Here is a 26,645-nt window from a genome sequence, read left to right as displayed (position 1 = left end):
ATCTTCATATTTGTCTCTGTACTCTAGAACCTATTACTTTTTTCTTCTATAACAAATTTTCAGGCTTTTGAAATCCAGGGCAAGAATCAACAGCAACCCCTAATCAGGTTTTGGGCCCTTGAGGGCAGGGAAGTTCAAATCCTACCATGAGATGAGGGGAAGTCATTGCATTGCATACGTCTATTACAAAGAAAAGAAATAAAAGCCAAAAGAGTAATTTCCTTATGAATGCAGTCAGAATATCTACTGTATTTTGCTACATTCATTTAAGAGAAGATTAGATAGGTAGATATAAAAAATGTTGAAGTAATGAAATGATAGGAGTTCCTGTTCCAGCCTCGGGGATGACAAGCTATGTAAATTAGACAGGCCATTTAGTCTCATTGGACACGTTTCTCCAATTGTGAAATAAGGGAGCAGGACTTGATGGAGAAGCCCCAGGTTCTGTCATTCTGAGATCCTGAAAGAATTTAAATATGTGACATGTGCCACTCATTTATGAATATACCTCTGATGTTTAACTCTACTTATAAAATAATGGTTCAAAACTCTTAATTGCACTACATAAACTTTTAGTTAGTAGTATGAGAAAGATCAGCACATGTGATTCTCCTTCCTCCTTGTATGGCTGAGTTTAGCAGCCTTAATCTCTTCCTACTCTTTCTGTGATTACTTTTAAAAGCCAGGAAAAAAAATTTAAAAAGACCTTTAAAAAAAGATAATTAGAAAATATAAAGTCAATTTTTGCAATTTGAAAAATGGAAGTGCACTTTATTCTGAAGTAGACTATTTTCAGGTTGTGTCTGTGTATGTGCATATTTCTCTGTGTATATATATTTATGAATATTTTCTATATATGTATAATTGGCATCAAGGTATGACAATGGATTTTCTTTTATTATAACTATATATGAAGAAAATCGAGACGCTTTGAAAAATCTACCTTAGTTTATATTTGAAAGGCAAATTAATACAATTATTTTGTCTTATCATATTTCCAAAGAATTTACTTTCTTATAGATTGATGGCAAAGTGTCAGTCTTCAAGAGCAGATATTCTTTGTGTAGGTTAAAAATGGATGCAGGTGTATATACCGAAAAGTATTGAAAGCAGGGGCTCAAAGATGTACTTGTACACTCATGCTCATAGCTGTGCTATTCACAACAACCAAGAGATGGACGCAACCCAAATGTCCATCAACAGATAAATGGATAAATAAAATATTATATATACATGTAATGGAATATTATTCAGCCTTAAAAAGGAAAAACATCCTGTCACATGCTACAACATGGATGAATCTTGAGGACATTATGTTAAGTTGAATAAAGCAGTCACAAAAAGATGAATACTGTATGCTTTCCCTTATATGAAATATCTGAAGTAGTCAAATTCATAGAAAAAAAAGTATAATGGTGGTTACCAGGAGCCGGAGAGAGGAGGAAAAGGGGATTAGTAGTTTAATGGATATAAATTTTCAGATTTGCAAGATGACAAAGTTCAGGAGATTTGTTTCATAACAATGTGAATATACTTAACACTACTGAACTGTACACTTAAAAATGGTTAAGATCATTTTACATTATGTGCTTTTTATCACAATAGAAAAAGGATGCAAGTGACAAGAGAAGTTTAAAGCAGTGATTATTCAAAATGTTAGTTTGTCATTCATTATATATTTTCATTCATATGCATTTATTTAGTTTTCCTTCACAGGGGTTAACAAAATAAAATAATATAAGTGAAAACAAATATCTTTATTAGACACTCTTGCAAACCTGAAAACACATACACAATTTCAAAATAATTATAAACAAAATTGTCATTGAGCTGTGGTAGAAGGTGCGATGGATTTGAGGTACGAAAACCTAGGTTTAAGTACTTTTCCTGCATGGCTAGTCCTGTGAACTACTAAATTGTAGTTGCCTTAATAGCAAGAACTGTTTTATTTCTTTGTATCCTCCTGAAATACCTAGAACAGTGTCTCAGATATTACTTGTTGGAGTTAAATTATGCTTTTAATTGAGTTATATTTTGAACAGGAAGGATGAACAGAGAGGAAAGCGCTACACTCCTCTGGCATCTACTTGTTACTCTGGCATGTAAGCAGTAACCAGAGGTACACAGGTGACAGGCCACCTCTTGGAGAAAACCAGCCAAGGCCAGGGTCAGGATCACAATATTAGGCCTGGTTTTCAGCTTAGTGTGGGAAGCAAAATTTTTGAAAATTACAAAGCCCAATGTCAAATCTTGTAGTGAGAACCAAGCAAAGCTAGAACATGACCATGAGCAAGAAATAACTAGGTCATAAAAGACAAGGAAACAAAAGAGCCATGATACAGGAAGGCTGGTAGCTTAAAGTGCGGCATGTGTGATTGGAGTACTGAGGTCAGTCAGCCAATGAAGAAGAGACTCTGTACTATGGCAAGGCAATTAAATTGATGGTGACAATGGCGGGGGTATTTATAGTCTCATTTAAGATTTAGCTTAAAGTTACAGACTCTCTCAAGTGAAAGGGAAACCAATATACAACACACACACACACACACACACACACACACAGTACTCTGAATGCCCGTTAGAGGGTTTGTGAACCCACCAAAGCTAATGAGTAGACCCCTTGAAATTGGTGGATCTCAGAGTGTGACTCACCTGCCTCATACTTTTATGCTTTTGAGGGCAGAAACACATAAAATTAATGGCCACAGGTCCGTTCCAATTCCCAACAAGGCAAAGCTTATGAGAGGTCCTGTGCTTTATGTCCTCAACTAAATCAAAGCAGTACTATTTACCTGGTGCAAGCTACAACTGTCCAGTTTAGTTGATATAGTAAAAATAATTAACTTTTATGGTGGTTGTCTCAGAAATTTGTCTATTATATATACCTATCAGTAAAAAGTTTTTAGAACATCTCTTATAAATGTGTATTTTTAATTTATAAATTATATGAATGCACTATTGTAGTAATGCATTATGTGCATACTGAACATAGAAAAAAGTAGAAATGTAAAACAGGGAAGAAAAGTAAAATATAAACAAATTCTTATGTTTTCTTTCCACATGCCCAAACAACTGTCTTGTACACCCATAAGGTGTAGTAATCCTATTTAGAAAATACTATTCTTTAGGTTAATTATGCAAATCTAAGCATGGAAATAAAAGCAAATAATGTCATTTTGATAGGAATGCCTCATTTTAAGAAAGTATAATTTATATCCCAAAGTCTAAATTTACAAGATAGAGTACGTATAACTTATATCTCAATGAGTGTCTGTTTCTGTGACCTTCTTGCAGGCAAACTGGATTTTTTTTTCATTTTCATTCCTCAGTGTCTATAAAAGCATTCTTCACAGAGTTGTCTTTTTAAAAAGATGCTTTTATAGTGCATCTATTAGAAGGATTGATACCAGTTTTCCTAAAGCTCTTTAGGAACACACCTCTACTTATGTTCCCCATTTTATATCTGGAGACATCCGGTCTTATATTCTACTCTTTTTACCATGTTGAACACCAAGAGTGTTAAAAATGTGCTGTGCCACCTCCTGTCCCTTCAGCTTTGCCCATTCTAATCTCAGCCAGGCTTGTAGCCCTCCTCTATTTACTTCTTCAACTGCCTACTCATTCTTCAAAACTCAGGTCTGCTGTTTCTTCCTTTGATCAGTCCTCTTCTACAGGCTTTTAGCAAGCTCAGCTACCACGAACATAGCCATTTGCACATTTGACTGTTTACTTTTCTGCCTTTCCCTCTTTATACCAACATTGTGGGCCTGAGAAACAATAATATCAACAAAAATAAAGAGCTTCCCTTTAGTGTTGGCTCTGTGCTAAGTCCTTCATCATTCTCTCACTTAAAAATAGGATGCAGGGGTGTGTGTGTGTGTGTGTGTGTGTGTGTGTGTGTGTGTGTGTGTGTGTGTTTGTAGAAAGAATTTTTGCTTATTTTTTTCTCATATTACTTATTAATTTATGCTCACATGGTCATTATAGAATGCATAATACACAAAGGACATTCACAGATTATATTAACCACATCTGTTTCAATAGGAAAAATATAAAAGACAAGCAATTTACTCAATAATTTAGATTTAAAAAAACACGGTACACATCGGTGTTTGGAACCTTAACTGACAATCTCAACTGTTGCTTTAATATGTACCAATGACAGTCTTTGAAAAACTATTTATCCAGGTATTTTATTTCCCTTTTCTAACAATTTGTATATTCTTCTTGCTAGCATTAAAATCAAAATGGAAAAACATTAATAATATTTTATTTATGAAGACAAGTGAGTTGACTGTAATAAAAATATTAATTCATGTCTTGCTTTTCAGTAAGAAATACCACCCATGAAGTCTGCTGGCACTTGCTGCTAGTAATAGTATAATTTCAAGAATGCCAGAAAAAGTGCATACCTTCCCTTGCAAAAGTGTGAATTATTTATTTTTCTTAATAGAAAATGTAAAGTGCATCAGTGTTTGGCTGAAAACAATTTAACAGCATATTTTTACCTAGAAAATGGGAAACATCGAAAGGACTTGTCATAAATTAACATAAACCATAATAATTTATCTCCCTTTCTATAGAGCGTAGGCATATAATTTAAAATCTAAAAACATTTAAAGGATTAGATAATAAATTACATTCAGCTTTCATTAATTTAGCTATTCTTTTTTTTTTTAAAGGGAAAGTTCACCTATGTTACACAGATTTAAGTCTTCCTCTTCTTCTCAAAAAGGTATCCTATTTATGTAGGGTTTTTACATCATGCAGATGGATGTGATAGACAAAAAAGGTATTTTTCATGGTTATTGAAATCATCATATATACTAACAATTTCCCTCTCTTGCCATGCTTGTTAGAGAATAGTTGAGTTTGGTCACATGGCATGGTTAACATCTGGAAGTCACTCAAGGTAATAATTACCACGGATTTGTTGCTTATTCAGAGGAAACATACCAGAATGGAAGTAAAGAAGGCGAGTTTTATGTCTCTTTTGACACACAAGGACTCAAATCCCATCATTGTCTTTACGTCATCCATTACGCCAGTAAAAAGATTGAACTGTCAATAAATACGTTCTTTGTCTTAAAACAAACTTCCAGAAAACGTAAAAATGCACTGCAAATGAAATTTCTTGATTATTTCAGTTCAAACAGGACATGATTTTCATTTTGACCCATGGCCCTAGCCATAAACACAAGGTGCATGCATTTTTTTCTACAATTTGTGCTTTGTGTAAAGCACCAAGTTTCTCTCATAACATTATTAACCAGACTTGTTCATTTCTGAGTATGAAAAAAAATACAGAGTGTAATATAAAAAGTTCAGCCATACTCTTTATACTGAATAGCAATCATTTAACTGTGTTCCACAGATCTCCAAGGCATTTTCAATAGTATCAATCTAAGAAGCTTCTCTAGCAATTTGTTTAAATCTAGTTTAATAATGACATTTTCATTTTGTCTCTATGGCTATTCCTGTAGATTCTATGGCATTTAAAAGGTACATATGAGCTCAAAAAAAAAAGACACAAATCTTGTAGAGAATCAGTTTTTTTTTTTGTTTAAATAGTGGCCTACGTCACAAGTTAGAAAAAAAGTAAAGGTTTTTCTTTACATACAAAGCTTATGCTAATTATGGCAATTGTTTTGGGATCTGTAACTTAAAATGAAGCTCTTTGAAGGCAGAACTTTAATTTGCTATGGTTCTTGTTCTCAGAAGCTGTATGTGTTTTTAATTATTGTCTTTATTGACCAGTGATTGGCTAAATCCTTTTCTCAAAAGACGTCACCACGTTCCACATTACTATGTTCCTAGCTGTTCTGCTGATGTTTCTTGCCAGCCTCCCACGTTGTTTGAAGAAGTACTTACTGCATCTATAAGAGTTTGTCAGGATCTTGCTGTTTGCAGTTCATCCACTTAAACTCATTAAAGCCTTTAGGGTGTTTTGTGCCTAGACCAGTGAAGTTGTATTGTGATCAACATAATTTGAATTCAAGTGGATTAAAATCTCGTTGTAAGGGATACAAAATCAGCAATAACTCACATACCCAGATGTCTCATTCTAATGCAAAACTGTCCAGTATTCACCACTTGCCAATGTGAGCAGGAGAGTCTTAAAAAGTTTTTAATAATCTCCCTTCCAGAGCAAAATCAGGAATCAGTTAGTTTCCCAGAGATTATGTGGAAATGAGGCAAGCTTATCTTCACAGTGTTAGTCATCCTCAAAGTTCAACTAGATACCGAAAATTTAGTATTTATTATCTCAGGATGGATGATTACCTGAGGATCAGTAATAGAAACTTTTCATCAAAATTGATCAAGTTTATTAAAATGTTAATAGCACTGGTAGATTGCCTGCTACCTTGAGCACTGTTACAGAAGGTAATTGATAAGTCTGTACTCTTAAAAAACTTGTTAGAAACTACTGCAACTAACCAAAATGGTTGTTTTTCCATTTCCATGATATTTAACATTGGTAACACTAAGTGTAGTAACAGGCTGGGCGCAGTGGCTCATGCCTGTAAACCCAGCACTTTGGGAGGCGAGGCAGGTGGATCACCTGAGGTCAGGGGTTCGAGACCAGCCTGGCCAACATGGTGAAACCCCATCTCTATCACAAATACAAAAAAAAAATTAGCTGAACATGGTGGCGGCCGCCTCTAATCCTAGCTACTTGGGAGGCTGAGGCAGGAGAACCGCTTGAACCCAGGAGGCGGAAGTTGCAGTGAGCCGAGGTTGTGTCATTGCACTCCAGCCTGGGCAACAAGAGCGAAACTCCATCATACACACAGACACACACACAAAAGAATAGTAACGATAATGGGAATGAATTTGTTCCTGGAAATCATCTGCTATTTGCAGAATTTGCATTTGTTTGTGAGGGAAAATACTCCAGTGGTACATTTTATTGAATTATGGAACATAAAAATGGTAATATCACACAGCTTATGTAACTGCATTCTTTTATTGTGGCCTTTAAAATACACTCAATACACTCACATACTTTTTGGGAATTTGAAAAAGGTCACTTTTCAGTGGCTTCTTCATTTAATTCCACATTTTAAAAGGTACAACCAGAATTTCCTTATTTGGTTCCATTATTTACTAATCTGCACATGATTTAGACTACCAAAATTGTACTTCTCTTAAATGTTAGTTATGCTTTTTGGGCTTCTAAACTAATATTTATATTTTTTGTAATTATTTATTACTACAATGTGTTATTCAGATGCTATGAGTATTTTGATCATATATTGGTTGAATTCATTGAAAACTTTATCCAACGAAATAGTATAGAATGTTCATAATTGTAATGTACTGTGCAAAATGAGAGATAAATCATATTTTAGTTCTACCTTTAAGGAGTTTACATTTAGTAAGGAGATATGAGATGTACACCTATAATATAAGGTAACTAACAATAACTGCTGTAATAAGGCCATAGCAATTTTTTTTACAAGTTCAGAGGAGAGAATATATTTCTAGCTATGTAAATTCAAGGAAGGCATCTATAGAACAGACAATTGCAGTTCTCTAAATACTCTAATCAGAAATTCCCAACCACTTGAGTCAACAGCACCTAGGAGCCTTCAGGTAGGACTTAGAGCTACTCTATGTCCTCTCGTTTGACCGAAGTTTAGTATTTCCCTACGGGAAAGGAATGTACCCTACCAATGCACCCTTGTGCCTCTCTTTTCTTGCTTACCTTGTTCTGGCCGCAGCTCATTTATTTCAAGCCCCTGTGTAAAGAGTTTTTTTTTTTTCTTCCACAGTTGATTTGGGATCTTTTGCTAAAATAGCACGTTCTCTGTGATTTATTAGGCCTGTGTGACTTGGATATAGTAAACTCGCAATAGACATGTACTGATTGAATGTTGAATGAGTGACTAGTGAGTGATTGAGTGAGAGGGTGAATGAGTGGGTGAATGACCATCAGCTGGGAAACAAACCAGCCCAAGAAAAACAGCTGGGCCCTGACTATATTATGTGGTGTAAATTTCACAAGAACTCTTAGCATCATTCCTTGAACTCTATTGTAGTTATTCAATAAATATTTGTTGGACATGATGTTCCTCAAAATCCTGAAGTTGTACACTCATATTACAGTATTTACATTGTTAGGGAAAGCTATCTCCTTGTAAAAGGGATAATCCTGTTTCACTACTGCATAAATAGATCATTATGTAGTGTTTCCAACAGCTTTTCTAGAAATAACCCCTTTGAGGTTCAAAAAGGAACCAGAAGTGATTAGATTTTACAAATGTTGTGCCACTTCTTATTACATGTAGTATTCAACAAAAAGAAAATCCCACAAGACAAATCTGTTTGCCCCATGGGCCAACTATCATAAAGTCTCATTGTTACAGCATCTACATTCTGGCATTTGTTTGTCAAAAATGGGCGGAGGTAAAAGTATTCTTTTTGCCAGTTAATGTGATGCCATAAAGCAGCATTTTTCATTTTTCAGCACTTATTAGCTCAGCTCCCCAGCTGTGTAGCACCACGCCCTGGTGTGACATTGAGAGAGAGAATTCTGAAAAGTTTATATTGGCTTAAATTTATAGCTTTCTTTTGAGTGGGGGAAGGGATTTTTAAAAAGGACATTGTAATTTTGTGATGTTGTATTACAAAACCTCTATAATATGAAATAATAGCTATGGGAATAATTATCAGTATATTGTGTTTGGCTCCCCTAAAGCAATATTAGCAGCTCTGTATTTAGAAGAAGAGTGAAGTAGGAAGTTATTAATTATTAATTAATTGATTGACCCATTTAATCGAAGCACTTTTATATCCTGCAAAATGTACAGCTGAGTGTCTTGCAAGAAAAATATATTCAAATATGTGAGCCATTAGAGAAAAATACAAGCTCAAACTCCACTTAAACAGTTGGATTTTGACATAATTATTTGTATAATTGCTTTAAAACTTTATATCTCTTGTTTTCTGGAGAGCAATTTCAAAATGACAAAATTAAATTGATTTCACTGAAGGTTTGGTATGGTCACCAGAAAATGGGTTAAAACAATTATTGTAGCATGATGTGGCACATTAAAGTGAAATGATTGACTACAAGCTAAAAGTTTTAAGACAAACTTAATCCTTGGCTTCTTCTTTGCTGCTCTCACACACACTCTAACATGTGACAAACAAGGCGGAGATTTTTAAAAACATTTTAAAAACTACATCTTGAGTGAGACAGTACAAGTAAACTTGATCAAACTCCTTATATTTATGTTGTGTGAAAGGCTTAACTATCAACACAAAATCAGGTTTTTAGCTTTCTTCTAAGTAATACTTTATATTGAAAGTAGAGTGGACGAAGAAAGAGCCTTTACACACCCTAAACAAGCTTGAAAGAGATGCACAGATATCTTTCCAGCCAGGGCGGGAGGGGAGATCTATGAGTCAAGACTTGCACGCTGCCCAGGCTGGCACTGACAGTACATAAATACCTTCCTGTACTATCAGAATGAACTGAAAGCAGCCTTAATTGGCTTGATGGCTTTGTTTGCACATGTAAAATGCAAAGTAGCAATTGCATGTCTTCTAAAATAATCTTGAAATTCCAGGGCTGTCTTCAATTCAATGAGCTTTTTTAATCTCTGTAATCATAATCTTATTCCAGATAGAAGACTAGGACATTGGACATTTCAGCAGGCATTTTAAAAAGTAGCAACACTAATTTTTATGCCAAGTGTAAGGATTATTCTTTAGAAATAAGTGAGACATCTTAAAGAGAACTCACTGATGCCCAAATTCTATCTTTTTGCCATGGTTGTGAGATACAAGGAAAGAGCAGCAGCTGGAAAATGAGGCTGGTATATAGCCATTTACAGAGAAAGACTCATTTTGAGTACAAAGAACTGCATCTGGAAAGAGGATAAAGTGGTTTCACAGACAGCACCCAGTAGTTTGAACAATAGAAGAAAATAGGTACCATCACTCAAATAAAATCCACATGGGCAAAAGTTATACATTGGACTTCTTGACCAGCGTTAATATGTAGCCCACACTTTTACTTAGGAAGACAAAAGACAGGCTAAGATTTAGAAACTCAGATCAGAGGCCTTTTTTCTATTTTTTTTTTTAACATAGGAGTGACATGTTCATATACGTAACAGGCTAGCTGTGGCACATAGAAATAACAATAAGAGTGAATGAGAGGCTATAAGAAGACACTCATTAGTAATCTTTTTCTTTTTCTTTCTTTTTTTTTTTCTTTTGAGACAGAGTCTTGCTTTTTTGCCTAGGCTGGAGTGCAATGTCTCACTGCAACCTCCACCCCCCAGGTTCAAGCGATTCTCTTGCCTTAGCCTCCTGAGTAGCTGGGACTACAGGCATGTGCCACCACACTCAGATAACTTTTGTATTTTTATTAGAGATGGGGGTCTCACCATGTTGGCCAGGCTAATCTCAAACTCCCGACCTCGGGTGATCCACCCACCTCAGCCTCCCAAAGTGCTGGGATGATAAGCGTGAGCCACCACACCCAGCCCTTCAATAGACTGAGAAGGATGGGAGAGAAGGCAGATTGGAAAGGTTGAATGGTATAGGACTTTGTTATCCATTTGACTTGGGGATGAGGTATAGGAAATAATCTAAAATGGCTATTTTAAAGTGTTCTGGTGAAGATATTAACAAGTATAAAGAATACAGACGAAGAAGCAAGTGTAGAATGAAGATAATTAGTTTAACTTTCGGTGGGTTTGAGGTGTTAATGGGAATTTGGTGACAGCTGGGAATTTTGGTCTAAAGCTCAGTTTGGGGATAGAAATAAATTTTGAGAGTCATTAGCATATAGGAATCAGAGAAAACTACAGGAATTGAAAAATCATTTGGGGAGAAAATTTGTAGGAGAAGAAAAGATAACTTAGAAATCATTTTTTTAAACCCACATTTAAAAGCTAGATCAAAGAAGACAAATTAGTGAAAACCTCTCAGGAGGAACCATGAAAGTAGAAGGAAATATAGTGGAATGTCATGAAAGCAATGGAGACAGTTGTTTTGAGATGTAGGTAAACAACTGTGGGGTGCTATAGAAGGATGAAATGAATCCATAGGATTTAGCAGGTAAGGAAGAGGTGACCAGAAAAGTTTCTGAGAGCAAGTTCAGTAGAAATGTGGGACTCAGGGTCAGATTGCAGTGACTCGAGTTGGGAATCTGGAATGAGAAAGTGTACACAGCGAGTGTAGTCTATTCCTTTAAATAGTTAACTTGTAAAGCCAAGGAACAGACAGGGCTGGAAAAAAAGGTATTTTAAAATATGTGGATGATGCTATCTTATTATAAACTGACAAAAGAAGGCAAAGGAGAAGAATAAACAGAACAATCATGTGCAGGAACTCAAAGATGAAAGGGGAAGGGAGCCAGAACCTGGAAGAGCAGGGCTGTGCTGCCTCTAACACTAGAAAGGGAAGAATGGGTCAAGAAATAGAGGTAAATCTGAATGTGAGAATAGATTACACCCTGCAATGGCCATTTGCTGAGAATAAAAGAAATAGAAAACAGATTAGAAGCTTAAAAACATAGAGGTTTAAAGGAAAAGAGAACTGAGTAAGAATAGGGAATAATTGCTAATTCACTGTAAATACAAACAGAACATTTAAAGGAGCTAATCAACATTGTCATCAAATTTGTACCAATAGCTTCTGGGAAAAAAAAAAGAAGAAATAAACAACGTATTGATCTGTTTTTGGAAATAGCAAGGCAGGAAGTCAAGGTGGGGTGGAGGTATTAATGAGACTGGCGAGGATGTAGTACTGTATGGTTTAAATAGTAAGAGAATTAAAGCCAGAAAGGGCAAACAGACAGGAAAAATGATGAGGCAATAAAGTGTGTAGATCTTCAATGGGGTCTCTGAGCCAATTTAGTGGGAATGAAGGAATAAGAGAGATGAAAGGACAAGAAATGACATATTAAAACATTGAAAGTTAATTATTTCAGAGGTAAGATATTATGATGCAGAGTATGGTAGTGTGAGAATGCCCTAGACTGTTAGGGTTTTAAGGGTGGGGAATAGCAAGGATATTCTGTGTCCAAAGTCAAAGAAATGGGGACAGGCTTGAATAGCGCTCATGAGGCCCAGAGAAAGGGGAGGTCCAGCTAGAAAGGAAGCAGTGATCTGTCTGGAACAGTAGCTGTGTGCTGAAATTTAAAAGAGAAAGATATCTATATTTCTTTTTTAAACTGATAGACTGAGCTAATTACAGAAGGGTTTGAAAACCTATTGCGGGATGAGAGCTTTTGTCTAGTGGACAATTGGAAACCATAACGAAATGTTAAGCAGCAGGATGCCATGAAGAAAGTGATGTTTTTGACACATTTACCTGGATGGAGACTGTGGAGGTGATTTCAGAGAAGAGGAGTCTATACCTTCAGGGTGTCATCAAGAGGCTCAGAATACAGGAGATGGAGGGATCTGAGCTTGGGAACAGTGGCATGAATCTAGACAGCCCCAGCTAAGAGATGACAGGATTTCATGACAAATTGTATACAGGGGAGATACAGAAGAAAGAGTTAAAGTGGTTCTAACGTTTCCGGGCTGAGACACCAGAAAACTATCTTTCTATTAAGAGATGTGGGGAAATTAGGAGAGGGTGGGGGTGGAGAGAGGGAGCCGGCGAATCAGAAGATCTGCTCTGATGCTTCTTGTTTGTGCCATGAAAAAATTAATTTCTTATGAATCCACAGGATGTCAAAAGCTCATAAACAGAGTTATCGTCATGTTGTTTTATTTTATTAAAACTGATGTGTGACAGAGCAGTACACTGCTGAGAGATTGTCAGTAGCAAATATCAACCTGGTGTGAAGAAATCAGAAGTTGGGTGCCTCATTTGGTAATTTGGAGAAAATACTTCTGGTGAACAGACTCTGTTAATGATGTCTGTGTTCCAGTTAAAAAACTTTTTTAATGGAGGATAATATGAAAAAGACTATTTAATCACACCTTGATTTTTTTTCAGTCACAGCTGCATATGGGTAGCAGGCACCATGCTGGGAGCACTACCTTTGATTGCAAAGCATAAAATTTTTACAGGCTTTTTTTCCCCTAATAAGTTAAAATTTGGGGTCTCCTCTATGTTGCATTTGGGTAATAATCTTGGACAAAATATTTGAAAGTGTGTAAGTGGGCCTAGTTCAAATATTTTTTTAAAAATAATCTTTGATGGTTCCTAGTTACTTAGGTTGTGGAAAAAAGTAGATTAATGAATATTGTAAATGAACTTTACTGTGTAATAGATTTAAAATTGGGCTAGATAGATCTGTAGTAACTAAGAGTAATGAAAATATTTCTTGAATTGGTTGTTTCATAGTAGAAAAATGACAGCATTTTATTATATTTTTGGAATTAATTTTTTTCTAAAATATTTCCTTTAACTTTATTTTTATAGAACTAGAACGTGTCTTTTAAGAGCATGCGGTTTTATAATTACGTGGAAGTATGCTACGCAAGGGAAAAAAGCCTCTTGCTGTAAGTAAATTTTGCCCTAATTATTGGACCATCAAAAGTGAGAATAAATGTTGCCAGTATTGGCTTGTGTTTTCCTCGTGTGGAGTAAGATTCATAATTTTCCCCACGTAGAGTGTGATTTTCAGAATTTTTACTTTAGTTTTATATTTTGAATCTCTGATTCTTCAGGGATTCGGAGAGTCATTGAAATACCTTTTCTAATTATTTCTAGAATAAAGAGTAATAGTAGTGGAGTAGTAATAGTCGATTTGTTTTCTAGGGCTGTATCAAATCACCAAAACTCGGGTGGCTTAAAAAGAGAAAAAATTATTCTCTCACAGTTCTGGAGGCTGGAAGTCTGAAAGCAAAATGTCAGCAGGGCCATCCTCCCTCCTAAGGTTCCAGGGAAAAATTCTTCCTTGCTTCTTCCAGCTTCTGGTGGCTCCTGGCAATCCCTTGTGTTCTTTGGTCTGTAGTAATATCACTCCAGTCTCTACCTCTAGCTTTGCACGGTGTTCTCTGTATCTCCGGTTCTTCTGCATCTGTGTCTCTGTGCCCAAATCTCTCTCTCCTTTCTTCATAAGAACACCAGGCATTGGATTTAGTGCCCACCCTAAATCCAGGGTGATTTACACCTGAAATCCTTAACTAATAACATGTGAAAACACCCTATTTCCAAATAAAGTGACTTTCTGAAGTTCTGGGTAAACATGAATTTTGGGAGGACAATGCTCAACCCATTAAAAGTAGTAGTAATCATGTGTTAGGCTTGTATTATTTTATGTTTTGAAAGTTATCAGCCAGAACAGCTGTAGAGGGGAGGGCCTGCAAGGGTGAGTGGCCAAAAATGTGGAGGCTTCAGGATATAACACAGGAAGTGGTCTGGCAATAGAGCCGTCCCTCAGGCCTTGCATGTTCCATAGAGGATTCACCAGATGGACCTGCAGCAAGATCCTTGGCCTTGCATATGTCTTCCAAGATCCCCTGACATTTCTATATGTGGAAATACAGTCAGCAAGTTCTACCCTGATACCTAAACTGAATTCACCACATACTAGACTAGACCAAAAAAGGGGTAAAATGAATGTAGACCTTGGAAGCACACCAGTTTAGCCACTCATTCAAGTGTCACTGTTTTTCTTAACAAATATGCTAATAGCACCTAACACTTGTGAAGTACGTGTTTTCTCATGGAGTGTCACATGTATAAGCAAGGTGGAAAGGTGAACTGGGACTCAGAGATTGGTGAAAGAACATGTGGCTCATCAATGAGTCCAGTGTTTCCTTAGCATCTGCTTGGTTCTAGGCTATGGCTAGGAGGTCCCTGAACCAGAAACAGATTAAAGGTTGGCTGATTACTGGTCCAATGGCCATTCATTATATCATATGCCTTATGCAGTAGTGGCCATGAAGTGGGGCTCTGGGGTTGGAATCTCAGTTGTTCTAGTTGCCTCTCTGAACCTCGGATGTTTCATATGTAGATTGGGAATGATAATAATAACTACTTCATAGGCTTGTGGTAAAGATTAAATCAGTTTATAGAAGTACAACATTTAGAACGGTGCCTGATACATAGCAAGTGTTCAACAATATTCAATTATTATTACTGCTCTATATGAGGAACAAGAGCATGTATATCTTCCTTTACCTCAGGAAGGTGATTATTATTATCAATACTAACATATTTGCATAGTGCTTACAATTTGCAAACATTTTTATACAATCCTTTTAAAACCCATTCAATTTAATCAATACAGTTAAAGGCTAAAAAAACTGTATTTCAGAGAAGTCAAGTGACTTGCTTAGGTACATTGAGTTAGTAACAGTTGTGGACTGAAATCTATGTTGTCAGCCCCATAAGCTACTCCTTATATATTAGGAGAGAGGGAAAAAAGTTGGTGAATATACAGTAACTCTAACCTAGGCTCAGTGATATGGAAAATTGAACCGAGAAGCATCCTATGAAATGGAAAATGAACTGATTTCAAAGTCAGAAAACTTGCATTTTAGCTTCTTCTCTGACATTTGAGCTGGAAAATGATGTCCATGCTTTTGCAAAGTCAACTGACTGTTAATGAGATGAATCCTCACTCCTCAGGTCCATGTGATATATTTCAAATGGTAGAGCTCTGAGTTGTTAACATGCAAATCCTTCATTCATTTGCTGAGTTTGTATTTTCTGGAAAACGGCAGTCTGGCTTGTGGAGCAAACATATTTGTATAATGTGCTGGTTGCCACGTGTTCGGGAGAGGTTCCCATGCATTGCTGTTGATGCAACAAGGATGGGGCTTTTAAATGTTGATACTATGAAAATGTAATGTGATTGGACTTGGACAAGTGCCTGAACAGACCACCCATCATATTATTTTGCTGCCAAGCAAATTCAATTGAAGAGCTTTGAAGTTTCTTGATAGCGAATAATTCACCTTTCATTTTAAATGCATGCTGAGTTGTACTGAAATATTCACGCTGAAAAGTACTTTTTGTTGCATATTTTTTCAAAGAACTTTCCCTTTTTTCGCTTTTATTTTTAGGATTTACTTTGAAAAAAAATCCTACCTTGTTGAGGGAAAGAGAATACTTGGTTTTAGGTGTGCCATGAAACTTTAATCAGTGTTTGAAGGTGATCTCTCAGAAGAATGACCTACTTTGTGACCCTTCCTGTGTTTGTTCACCAGATCTAGTGACTGGAATTTGCCTTATTCCATTACTTCTTGCCCTGCTAGATACTCTTCCATATTCAGAGGAAATTCTTCCACTGGAGACTAGCGTTATACCTGGCATATAGCAGGCATTTAATACATGCTTGATCATTTGAATTGTGTGTCCCATCTCAGTAACACAGGTAGTTCTGGGTCTTAGCTCCCTTCTTAATTTACCTGTGCCCCTGACTACTGAGAACAAAGTTTCTATTTTGAGAACATTCCCATTACTCTCACACTTTCCTTCCCCCACACTGAGAACCCTGATTCCCTGAGTGACAGCTCATACTAAGATTTACCAGAGCCACCTGCTCCAATAAGTACAATTGTGACTGGAGTGTAGAGGGTGTGAGAGCAACTAAGCAACCGTTATTTGGGAAAATGCTACGAAATCATATCTTCACAGTTGCTTACAGTAACTCACAGCTACAGAAGCACATCATTAGTTTCTCAGTTGGAAGTCTTCTTGTGGCAGCATATGATTTCTTTCGCCCTTGAACTCCCTAGAGGTTTTTTCTTTACTATCTTTTCTTGTTAGGCAGTTTTGCATAGTGGTTAAACATGTGGATTTTAGAACCACATTGCCAGGATTTGAATGGCTCTACCACTTACTGTGTGATCACAGGCAAGTTACTTTCCTTTTTTTCCTGCTCCAATTTTCTTATCATAAGTCTTATTATGGACCTAATAACATTACCTAATAAATAGGAATTAATGTGAGATTATATAAAGTACATATTTATATATCTATAAAACAAAATATAGCATAAGTACTCAATACATTGTAGCCATTATTAGTCACAACTTCCAAACAGCCCTTAATCCTCCACCACTACAATAAAATCTCTGCTGTTAAATTCCCACAAACATGCAGCCTTAGGGGTACAGATGGGATGCTGAACAAAGTTCAGAAGCAAAGGAAAAGTTTAGGTCTCAAGAAATCTTTGTATAGAAGCCATCATTCATGTCCCTGACATTCACTGGAAATAAAAGGGGTAAAGTACTGATAATTCTCTTAATTGGTGATTCCAAACTTTACATGCACAGAATCTCTTGGTGAGCTTATCAATATGTGAAGGATTTGATATGTTTGAAGCGGGGCCCAATAAAGTGCATTTGAAACAGGGTCTCAAGTGAGTGAATGATGCAAATAGTCCACAGATCGCATTTTGAGAAAGCTTTTCTAGATTTTGGTAAGGTACCGCTCTCCTCTTGCTCATTCATTCATTCATTTGATACTTGTTCTGAATACCTGCAATGGGCAAGAAATATCATGCCTGGAGCTTTGGAGGCTCCAAAATGAATTAAACACTGTCTTTGTTTTCAAGAAACCAAAAATATAGTGAGGAAGATACATCACACATATTTTTTAATTTTGTAAGGAAATGAATGAAATGCACTACGTATATTCTATAGCTAAGCAGTGTGATTAGAGGGCAAAACTTGATCAGTTGGGTTAACATAAGAATGGACTCCCTAATCTCACAAGGGACACATTCGAGAATCTTGATTTAAGAAAATGAATCGTAATATTTTAATAAAATGGACCTAGAATAAACCATAAGATCTAAAAAGTTTTCTATACTAGAAATGTGAGAATGTAAATAGGGAAGCCTTAGAAATACCCATCAAAGCGGACCCTCTATTAGCTCAACTATTTTCTTACTTCATCTTTAACAATTGAGTTAGTAGTATTTGCTCCCAAAGTATGACCATGAAGAATTTTCCTTCCCTGTGTGCATAAATGATTCCGTTCCTAAACCCACCACCAGGGAAATCCTGAGAAGGAGAAAGCGTCACATCCAACAGTCATGTACAGTAGGATGGTGCTGTTTCTGGCAGCCTCATTGTAACAATTAAAATAGAATAAACCTTTTAATTTCTTCTTCCACCATTATTAGATCCTCAGCTCTTTGATGAAAGTCTTATTTACCTTTGCAACCTGTTCATTTGCAAGTCACTGTGGAAGTGAAATTACTGGCTGGGTTCAGTAGCTCATGCCTATAATCCCAGCACTTTGGGAGGCTGATGCAGGTAGATCACTTGAGGTCAGGAGTTTGAGACCAGCCTGGCCGACATGGTGAAACCCCATCTCTACTAAAAATACAAAAATGAGCCTGGTATGGTGGTGTGCACCTGTAGTCCCAGCTACTCGGGAGGCTGAGGTAGGAGAATCACTTGAGCATGGGAAGTGGAGGTTGCAGTGAGCTGAGATCACACCACTGCACTCCAGCCTGGGCAACAGAATAAGACTCTGTCTCAACAACAACAACAACAACAAAAAGAAAGTGAAATTGCTGATTTTAACAATCATGTGTAAAAATGATGATTGGCACTTTTCCTGATTGGGACCTCAGGCAGTATCTAATTTAACTATAAAACTTGAAATGGAAATTCAGAGAACTAAGTGACCTGGGTAAGGACAAGTAGCTGAGTGGTAACAGGTCGCAGTGTCTCAAATCCAGGATTACTGATTCATTATTCTTCGTAATAGGTCAGTGGACCTATTACATATTTATGATCATGCATCCCTACTAGTAAAACAAAATAAATGTTTTGAGCCAGTCCTTCCAACATCTTTGTACTTATGTGTAAAATGTTTACATGTGCTACTAACTAGTATATTAATCGTATTATAAAATATATTTTGAAAATAAATTTTTAAAGGATGAAATTGAAAATAAATAGTATACAGAAGATGTAGAAATTTTTTCATCTCCCTGCTTTGGAGCAAGGCCACTCAGACTTTTATCTTAATAGGGCAAAATGATTTATGTCATTTATGTCAGGGAAATAAAAAGTCCTTAATGATTATAAGCAAGGGGTAACATACTTCCATCCCTAGTGCCTTATTTCCATAACACCTTGGTCCAGGAATGTTTATTAAATGACTAGCTCAGGACTCATTTCTGCACATTTTTTTCACTGTAGTTTTGTTGTTGTTGTTAAGTTATACCGCTCTAGTTTGATAAAAGAAAAGATTAAGACCTTTATTTGTGAAACTCAGAAGGTAGATTTTATGCTGTGTATTGAAAAGTGCATTTTTTTCTCTAAATACCACACATATCTGTTTCATCTCTCTTTAATTCCTGGGAGAGCTGATGAAAGAGAGCTGTTTTTCTCCTTAGGAATTTCCTTCGGATTATTCTTATTTCAGTACACTAATCTTCTGTTTTTAAGTTTCTTCTACAGAAATTACACATATCTCAAAGCCAGAGGATTTTTATTTCGAATTCTCAAAGGGTAGCAGAAGGAAAGGAATGCCTTTAGACCTAAGATCTTGTTTCCAAAGGAGTCCTTAGAAGTAACAGGGAAGGCTTGGAGTCTGGTAATGAAGGAGGTAGTGGGAGTGGGTGGAGGGAAAAGTAGATATCAATATAAGCAGATTATCTCTAATGTTTTACAGAGTGTTAAGGGTCTTCATAAACAGAAACCGCAAGGAACCTGGGATCTGACAGCTGTTGGAGGAATGCCTGTGAGGAAGGAGGAGGAACAGAAGGTATGGTTGCTAATTTCCAAAAATAAAAAAATAAAAAAAAATGAGATGTCAGACATTTTAATGGGAAAAATAAAGCCCCACCGGACGATAGATGACAGAGCACAACTAGCCATCATTCATGATGCTGGGACCAAATATCTTTCATGAAACACTCAGACACAGATCTTTAGTGTATGTTTCCCTGAGTTGGTAGAGAAAGGGAATGGATTGATCCCATGCTTCACCAAAGATGCTGGAGTTAGACTGGAAAGTGAAGGAATAATTAGCTTGTGGAAATAATCATTAAACAGATAACCTTATACTTGTTCACTCAGACCCCAGAGAGAGCCAGGTAAAAATTTCCATCTTTTCTTTCTCTCTCTACATAAACACATAAACAAATTATAGTAGGTAGGTAATGGGAGATTACTGAATTGCACTGCTTAATTTTCTTAATTTACAACTGGGACTGATGGGTGGCAGCTAGTCCTGACTCATACAGGTTTTGCACCATCAAAGGTTTATATCCTCTAAAATAAAAGTGACAAGAAAGAGAGTGAACTATCAGAATAATTCCTCCCAGCTGCAAGATTTGGAGCTAAGCATTGTCAAAGGCAAAGTGTGCCTGATCCAGTTAAGAACTCCCTCATTCTTTATGGAATTTGAGTATTAAATGAAGCCCCAAGATTTCTGGGTTCAGGTTCCAATTGTTTACTAACTAAAATAAAAGAGCCCACAAAACTGTTCAGGAGGCATTGTGCTTCAAATCATTCTTACCAAACATGTTGATGAGTTAAGTATAAATTAATCAGAAACATATGGTTCAAATTTCTGTGAAAATCCACAGGGTATATTAAGGGAATTAAAGAGAAATGTGTTAGGCCAAACATATTTAAGAATTTAGCAAAACTGAAATCTACCAAAATAGTTTAACATTTTCTGGTGCATCTATTCCAGTTTATTCTTTTTTAATAGTGTGTTTTCTCAGTTGCCTTAAACTTGCATTTTTATGTGATGTGATACATCCATAAATAATTGTAACATATAATAATGAAGTTGCCAATCTAGTTCTTTATATGAATCTGAAGTGATCAGATTTATCACAGCAAAAGATGCTATAGTTAGAAAAAATTCAAATATCTAAAAAAATTAAGGAATTTGGACCAATCACAAATAAGCTAAATTGTGAAATGGTGAACTCAAAGTTATGTAATATATTGAATTTAAGTCATTTCAAGTGTATACATTATTTTAATTTATTCATCAAAATTTAGTATTGTTTAAAGCACTGTCCATAGGTGTTTTGGAACAAGGAAGATTTTTTAAGAATAAATAAATCAAATGTGGCTCATGCCTTCAAGGAATATAGAAGACTTTAACTCAAACTATGCTAAATTATCATAAACTCAGAGATATGATTACTTGCTACATAGTTTAATTATAAATAATATTATAGAATTTCTTTTTAAAGTGGCTCTTCTAAAGTGGGGAAAAGTCTATTATTCCCCAAAGAAAACATTCATAGAGTTAATATTCATGTAACTTAGCATATTACAGAAGACAAATTTTTCTCACTGTAAAAACAAATGGAAATTATCTTGTACATAAAATGCTTAAACATAGTCCAACTTTTTAAAATTCACAGTGCTTCAAGCGAAAGAAAATTGGGTTAATTAGATTTTGTTATTGTCAGACCCTATGATATTTTAGGGTCCTTCAGTGACTCCTTCTAATTTTACTAAAGAATATTATGCAAAAGTGAATGTATAAAGCATAGCGGGGAAGAAAATTTCTTATTTGTTTTCTACTATCAATATATCACTCAGAACCATAGTTCATGTGAATGATAAAAAAAAGAAAAGGAAACTTGAGCTTTAGGTGTCAGAAGATACCTAAGGATAACTCTCAAAAAGCATCTCACCAAACTATATTTCTGAAGGAAACATGAAGTTTTATGTAAGGTGTATGCACTGAGGCACTCACCTCCATACAAAAATATAATTGTCATGGTGTTTATCATTTTCAGACTTTCCAGGTGTCCTGGAGAGATTATTTTCCTTCTTACCTCATCTTTCTTGGAAACTGCAACATGTTAGGCTGACAATATCTTTCAGCCAATGGCATTTGATAGAGGCAACTCCCTGGATCTGAGCCTTTTTTGGGGCTGTGGTAATTTAGGATCCCTGCTTAAAATGGACCCCTTCCCTGACAGAGAACTAAGGCATGGGTGAGGCTGCTGCAAAGAGCCAGGCAAGCAGGACCCAGCCAAACTGTGCGGGTGACATTGCCACCCCAGTGTGTCTGGAAGGCAGAACATTTAGCCAAAGAGGATTGTTCTTGAGGTTTAAGGTTTCATGGAGCTTGGCTTGCTAGGTTTTGGACTTGCTTGAGATCTGTCACTCTTTTTTCTTCTTTCTTATTTTTCTCTTTGGAAATCGGAATGTCTACCCAATGCCTGTCACACAATTGCATTTGGAAAGCAAATAACCAGCACAGCTGGAGAGGAATTTCGCCTTAGGATGAATTGTACCTTGAGTTTCACCCCTATCTAATTTAGATGATATTTAGATGCTAATTTGGACTTTAGACTAGAGTTGATGCTGAAATGAGTTAAGATCTTTGGGGCTCTTGGAATGGAATAAATGTATATTGCATGTAAGAAGGATATGAATTTTGGAGGGCTAAGGTGGAATACAGTGGATTGAATGTTTGTGCCCCCATCACAAAGTTAATATGTTGAAATCCTAACCCCCATTGTAATGGTATTAAGAGGTAGGCTCTTTGAGAGGTACTCAGGTCATTAGGGTGGAACACTTATTAATATTAATGTCCTTTATAAAAGGGACCCCAGAGACCTTTTTCTCTCTCTTCCTGCCATGTAAGAACATAGCAAGAACAAGCTGTCTATGAACCAGGAAGCAGGCCTTCACCAGACACCAAATCTTCCAGTGCCTTGATCTTAGACTTTCTGAGCCTTTAGAACTATGAAAAATAAATTTATGTTGTTTATGAGACACTCAGTTTACAGTATTTTGTTATACCAATCCAAGCTAACTAAGACACTGCCATTAGTTGGCATCTAGGCAGTTATGGTCCTTGAAATATATGTTCTGATTGAGTCCAGTCCTATTGGAGAGATGATTATGTCATGGAAACCTCATTGTTGGAGCTGTTAACTTGAAGTGTAAGGGTGGTAGGAGGGTAGAAAGCAACTGCAGTACTATGAGCAGCTCTGATGAGTGGAGGATCGGAGCCTTGGAGCTCCCAGTCTGTGGAGAAATCAGACAGTGTGTTTATTATTATTATTATCAGTATGTGGGCAACTATAAAGTAGATCATTTGGTGCCCCTGTGGAGGTGTTTAGAGGCATTTGTGGCGAATTATCTGTGTATCAGGAACTGAGGGCTCTCTAAAGACCGTGACTAACTCAGATTCTGGCTTGTCTGGCATCAGTACCTGAGATCTCATCAGTGAGTGTAAGTACAGGAGCTGAATCTTCAAAGAGCTTTGGTTCTTAATGGGGATAGGAGGCTGGGAAGTAGTGGAAACAATAGCAGGAACTAAATGAAGACACCAGAGTCACAAGAATGGCTTCAAAATTAAGGTACAGTTTTATTCCAGGAAAAATGCAAGGAATTCAAATAAGAGTGAAGTAGGGGTAGAATATTGGGGTAGTAGTGAGAAGTAGAAATGAAATTTGGTGAACCTCAAAATCAATTGTCTAATTTAGTTAACTTGGGACACAGATTATGCACCAAGAGATTAAAGATTAACTTTTTCTTAGAGGCAATTCCAAAGCAGCTCAAGAAACCTATTTCATTGAGAATATGATTCAGCATTTCAAAAATTTTAAAAAAGACTTCAATGATTTTAAGTATGAGAGAAACTGATAGAACTAAAAATTTTTCATAGCCTAATCTGTCTTAATATATGGCCATTTCATCATATTATTTTCTATATTTGTCTATATTTTGTTTTTTTCTTTCTTTCTTTCTTTTTTTTTTTTTTTGAGACAGAGTCTCACTCTGTAGCCCAGGAGGGAGTACAGTGGCATGATCTCAGCTCACTGCAGATTCAGCCTCTGGAGTCAGGTAATCCTTCCACCTCAGCCTCCTGAGTAGCTGGGACTACAGGTGACGTGCCTGGCTAATTTTTTGGTTTGTTTGTTTTGTTTTGTTTTTGTAGAGATGGGGTTTTGCCATGCTGCTCAGGCTGGTCTTGAACTCCTGGGTTCAAGTGGTCTGTCTGCCTCAGCCTCCCAAAGTGCTGGGATTACTGATTGAGCCACTGCACCTGGCTGGATTCTTATAAAATAAAGATTCCAGGAAAAAAATAGACCAGATTGTGGTATTTCAAAAATCGCTCAAATAATTTAAAAACCGAGATTGCAAAAACAGACATGTTAATGGTAATAAAGAGAGCTCTGTTATTAGGAAGATAGAGTATCTTGAAGACTTATTCTACAGATAGAATGTAAAAGAGAAAAAATAGTTTTTTGGAGTAGTATCTATATAGTTTAGATTGACCAATCAATTACATGAAACATTTCATCTATTTTGCTTTTTGGTAGAATCACAATACTTGGAATTTGAAATGATGAGGCAGTCACTTTAGCTATCCTAATGAAATTTAATCTACTTTCAGCACACCAATCAATTGCTTAGTTATTATCTCTTAAAGTTAATATGGAAGTCTACTTCACTTGAGGGGAATATATTTTTGGCTTCAGATTAAGGAGGATGAATTTAGCAAATGAATATTTACTTCCTCTGCAGTGAAGTGAAAATAAATTAATGAGAGTTAGTGACTGTACATACTTCTGCTTCGTGTTGTCAGCAGCATTTATTTGTCATCACTCTCTTCCTCAAATGCATGATCTCTCACACCTCTCTGCAAGAATGTCCTTTTCCACCTTACCATCTCAGCAAATTCTTAACTTTCATATAAGAAGTTCCTAACCTTCCCTCCAACTGCTCAGAATTAAGTACATCCTGCCCTGTTCTCAATATGTGTTTTTTATACTTTTAACAATAATTTCAAAAGTATACATCTACCTCCCTGTTTTTGTGATGGTTGCATAACACAGTGGTAAAAAGCCCATGCATGGGCACTAGAAAACTTAGACTCAGATAAAAGGAACTGGCTCTGAGATCTTGGGCAAGTTCCTCAAATCTTGAGGTCTTTGTATTCTCACCTTACATAATGAGGACGATAATTTAATTTACCTTACAGGCTTTTTTAAAGGAATAAATGAGTTAATATATGTAAAGGACCCACTTATATTAATATATGTAAATGAGTTAATATCTGTAAAGAAGATTTGTATTTTCTCATCTATCTATAGATTTACATATATATAATTCTATAGTCTATGTTTATCAAAAAATGTATTGGTATAAATATTGCTGAAAAATCTTAAGTTGTATACTCGTATTTCTCCATGCTGTATTTATATAGCACAACGAGGGCACTTGACAAAACACAGTTAATATTATAGAAAGTTAATTCTAATAGTAAAAGTTAAAAAAATACTTTAAAGCTATCCACATTAAAAAAATTAACCAGAAGACTGCCAGATCTTCAATACATACTGCTTGCCCTCCTCTGAATTTAAATTCTCAACCTTACTTTAGAAAAATAACGTTTACCTCTGTTTTGAATTTTTACTAATCCAACCAGGCAGAAGAGACCTAAATAAGCTTACATCTTAACTAATTTTTTCTTCATTTCTTCTAAAACATGTGGAATATGTTTGCTTTAGTGTTTAAAAGTGTTGTTTTATTGATCTTTTTATATGATCCCTTTACAGCAAGAGATTTTGATGTAGTCAAATAGTGTGCTATAGATTGTGTAATAATAATGATATGTTATTAAGACCTGGTGTATATTTTCCCTTATCATTTGCCTGCCTTTCCATTGATGTTTTAATTTCTATCATCCTACTCTCAAGCCTTTTCCCAGTTATTCCAGGAAGTGGGTTCCCAGTGCTAGCCAGCTGCCTTTCTCTTGGCATTGCTTCTTCAGGAAGTAACAATCACTGGGTCTATTACTCATGTCAATTCTTCTTCCCATCTTCAAATTCTGATTTTGATAGAAGAACAGCTTTTTCATTTGCTCCTTTATTCTGATAATATATTTCAAGAGCCTATTTTTTCAGCTAAAATACTTTTCCTGTGGTTTGGCACTCATTTCTTTCACCCATCGCTAAAGCTAAAATCCCTTATCTTGCTTCTAGTTATTTTTACATATGGCACCTCCAAGTTCACATTACTAGATTTCTTTATATTTTTTGAGGATTTCTGCATATAAAAGTTTTATGTCTCTTTCCCACTTTAGTGTAGTGGCCTATAATTTCCTTGTTCTAGTTGGTTTTAACTTGAAACATTTTCAATTGCTGAATCTTGAGCCCTTTCTTAAATCTATTTCATCTTCCTACAGTAGGCTTCCCAGAAGCCCTCAGAAAACCAAATTAAAATGCTTTTTTCTTTCTTTCAAAGTCAGTCCTCTAATTATTCCTATCATATTCTGAGCTGGATTCATACTGAACTCGTATCTGGTCATCTTATGTATAGTTTCCTAAAAGTTGGATAAAATATATTTATGTTTCCTGCCCTTTTCATTGTGGTTTGTTGGCCTCAAAAACTCTTTACGTAATGTAAGATTGGGCTTCTGAAACCCAAAAATCTTGCATCTTCTCAATCTAGCTGTCACCAATGGCTCTCTCAATCTTTTTTAATTAAACAAAAAGATATGGGCTTATCTCTTACTTCAGAGATATTTTTAAATAAAAGAAAATGCAATCAGATGCAGAAAGAAAATACTATCTTCCTATGAGGCAGTTGGGAGGGCAATGAGCACAGAGCAATTTCCCAGTAATATGGGGCCTCTGATGTAGGCTAAGAAAGCGTGGAAAGCCACGCAGGAATATAATTAAAGAACTTAAAAATCCAGAATAGATTCTCGTACTTCACTAAGAAGATCTCCACCATCAACAAACAAAGCAACAA

General features: G+C 36.0%; 1 long non-coding RNA gene across 1 annotated transcript in view; it reads left to right on the top strand.

Moving 5' to 3' along the window:
• LYPLAL1-DT (LYPLAL1 divergent transcript) overlaps nt 1-26,645 on the top strand; it is a 92,816-nt gene that overhangs the window by 4,191 nt on the left and 61,980 nt on the right. Inside the window, exons 2-3 of the long non-coding RNA NR_038845.1 lie at nt 13,399-13,478; nt 19,567-19,659. This is a non-coding gene — a long non-coding RNA (LYPLAL1 divergent transcript). The remainder of the gene's footprint in view (nt 1-13,398; nt 13,479-19,566; nt 19,660-26,645) is intronic.

The sequence above is a fragment of the Homo sapiens genome, chromosome 1, assembly GCF_000001405.40.
Source record: "Homo sapiens chromosome 1, GRCh38.p14 Primary Assembly".
Taxonomy (NCBI): Eukaryota; Metazoa; Chordata; class Mammalia; order Primates; family Hominidae; genus Homo; species Homo sapiens.
This window is presented reverse-complemented; position numbering and strand designations above follow the sequence as displayed.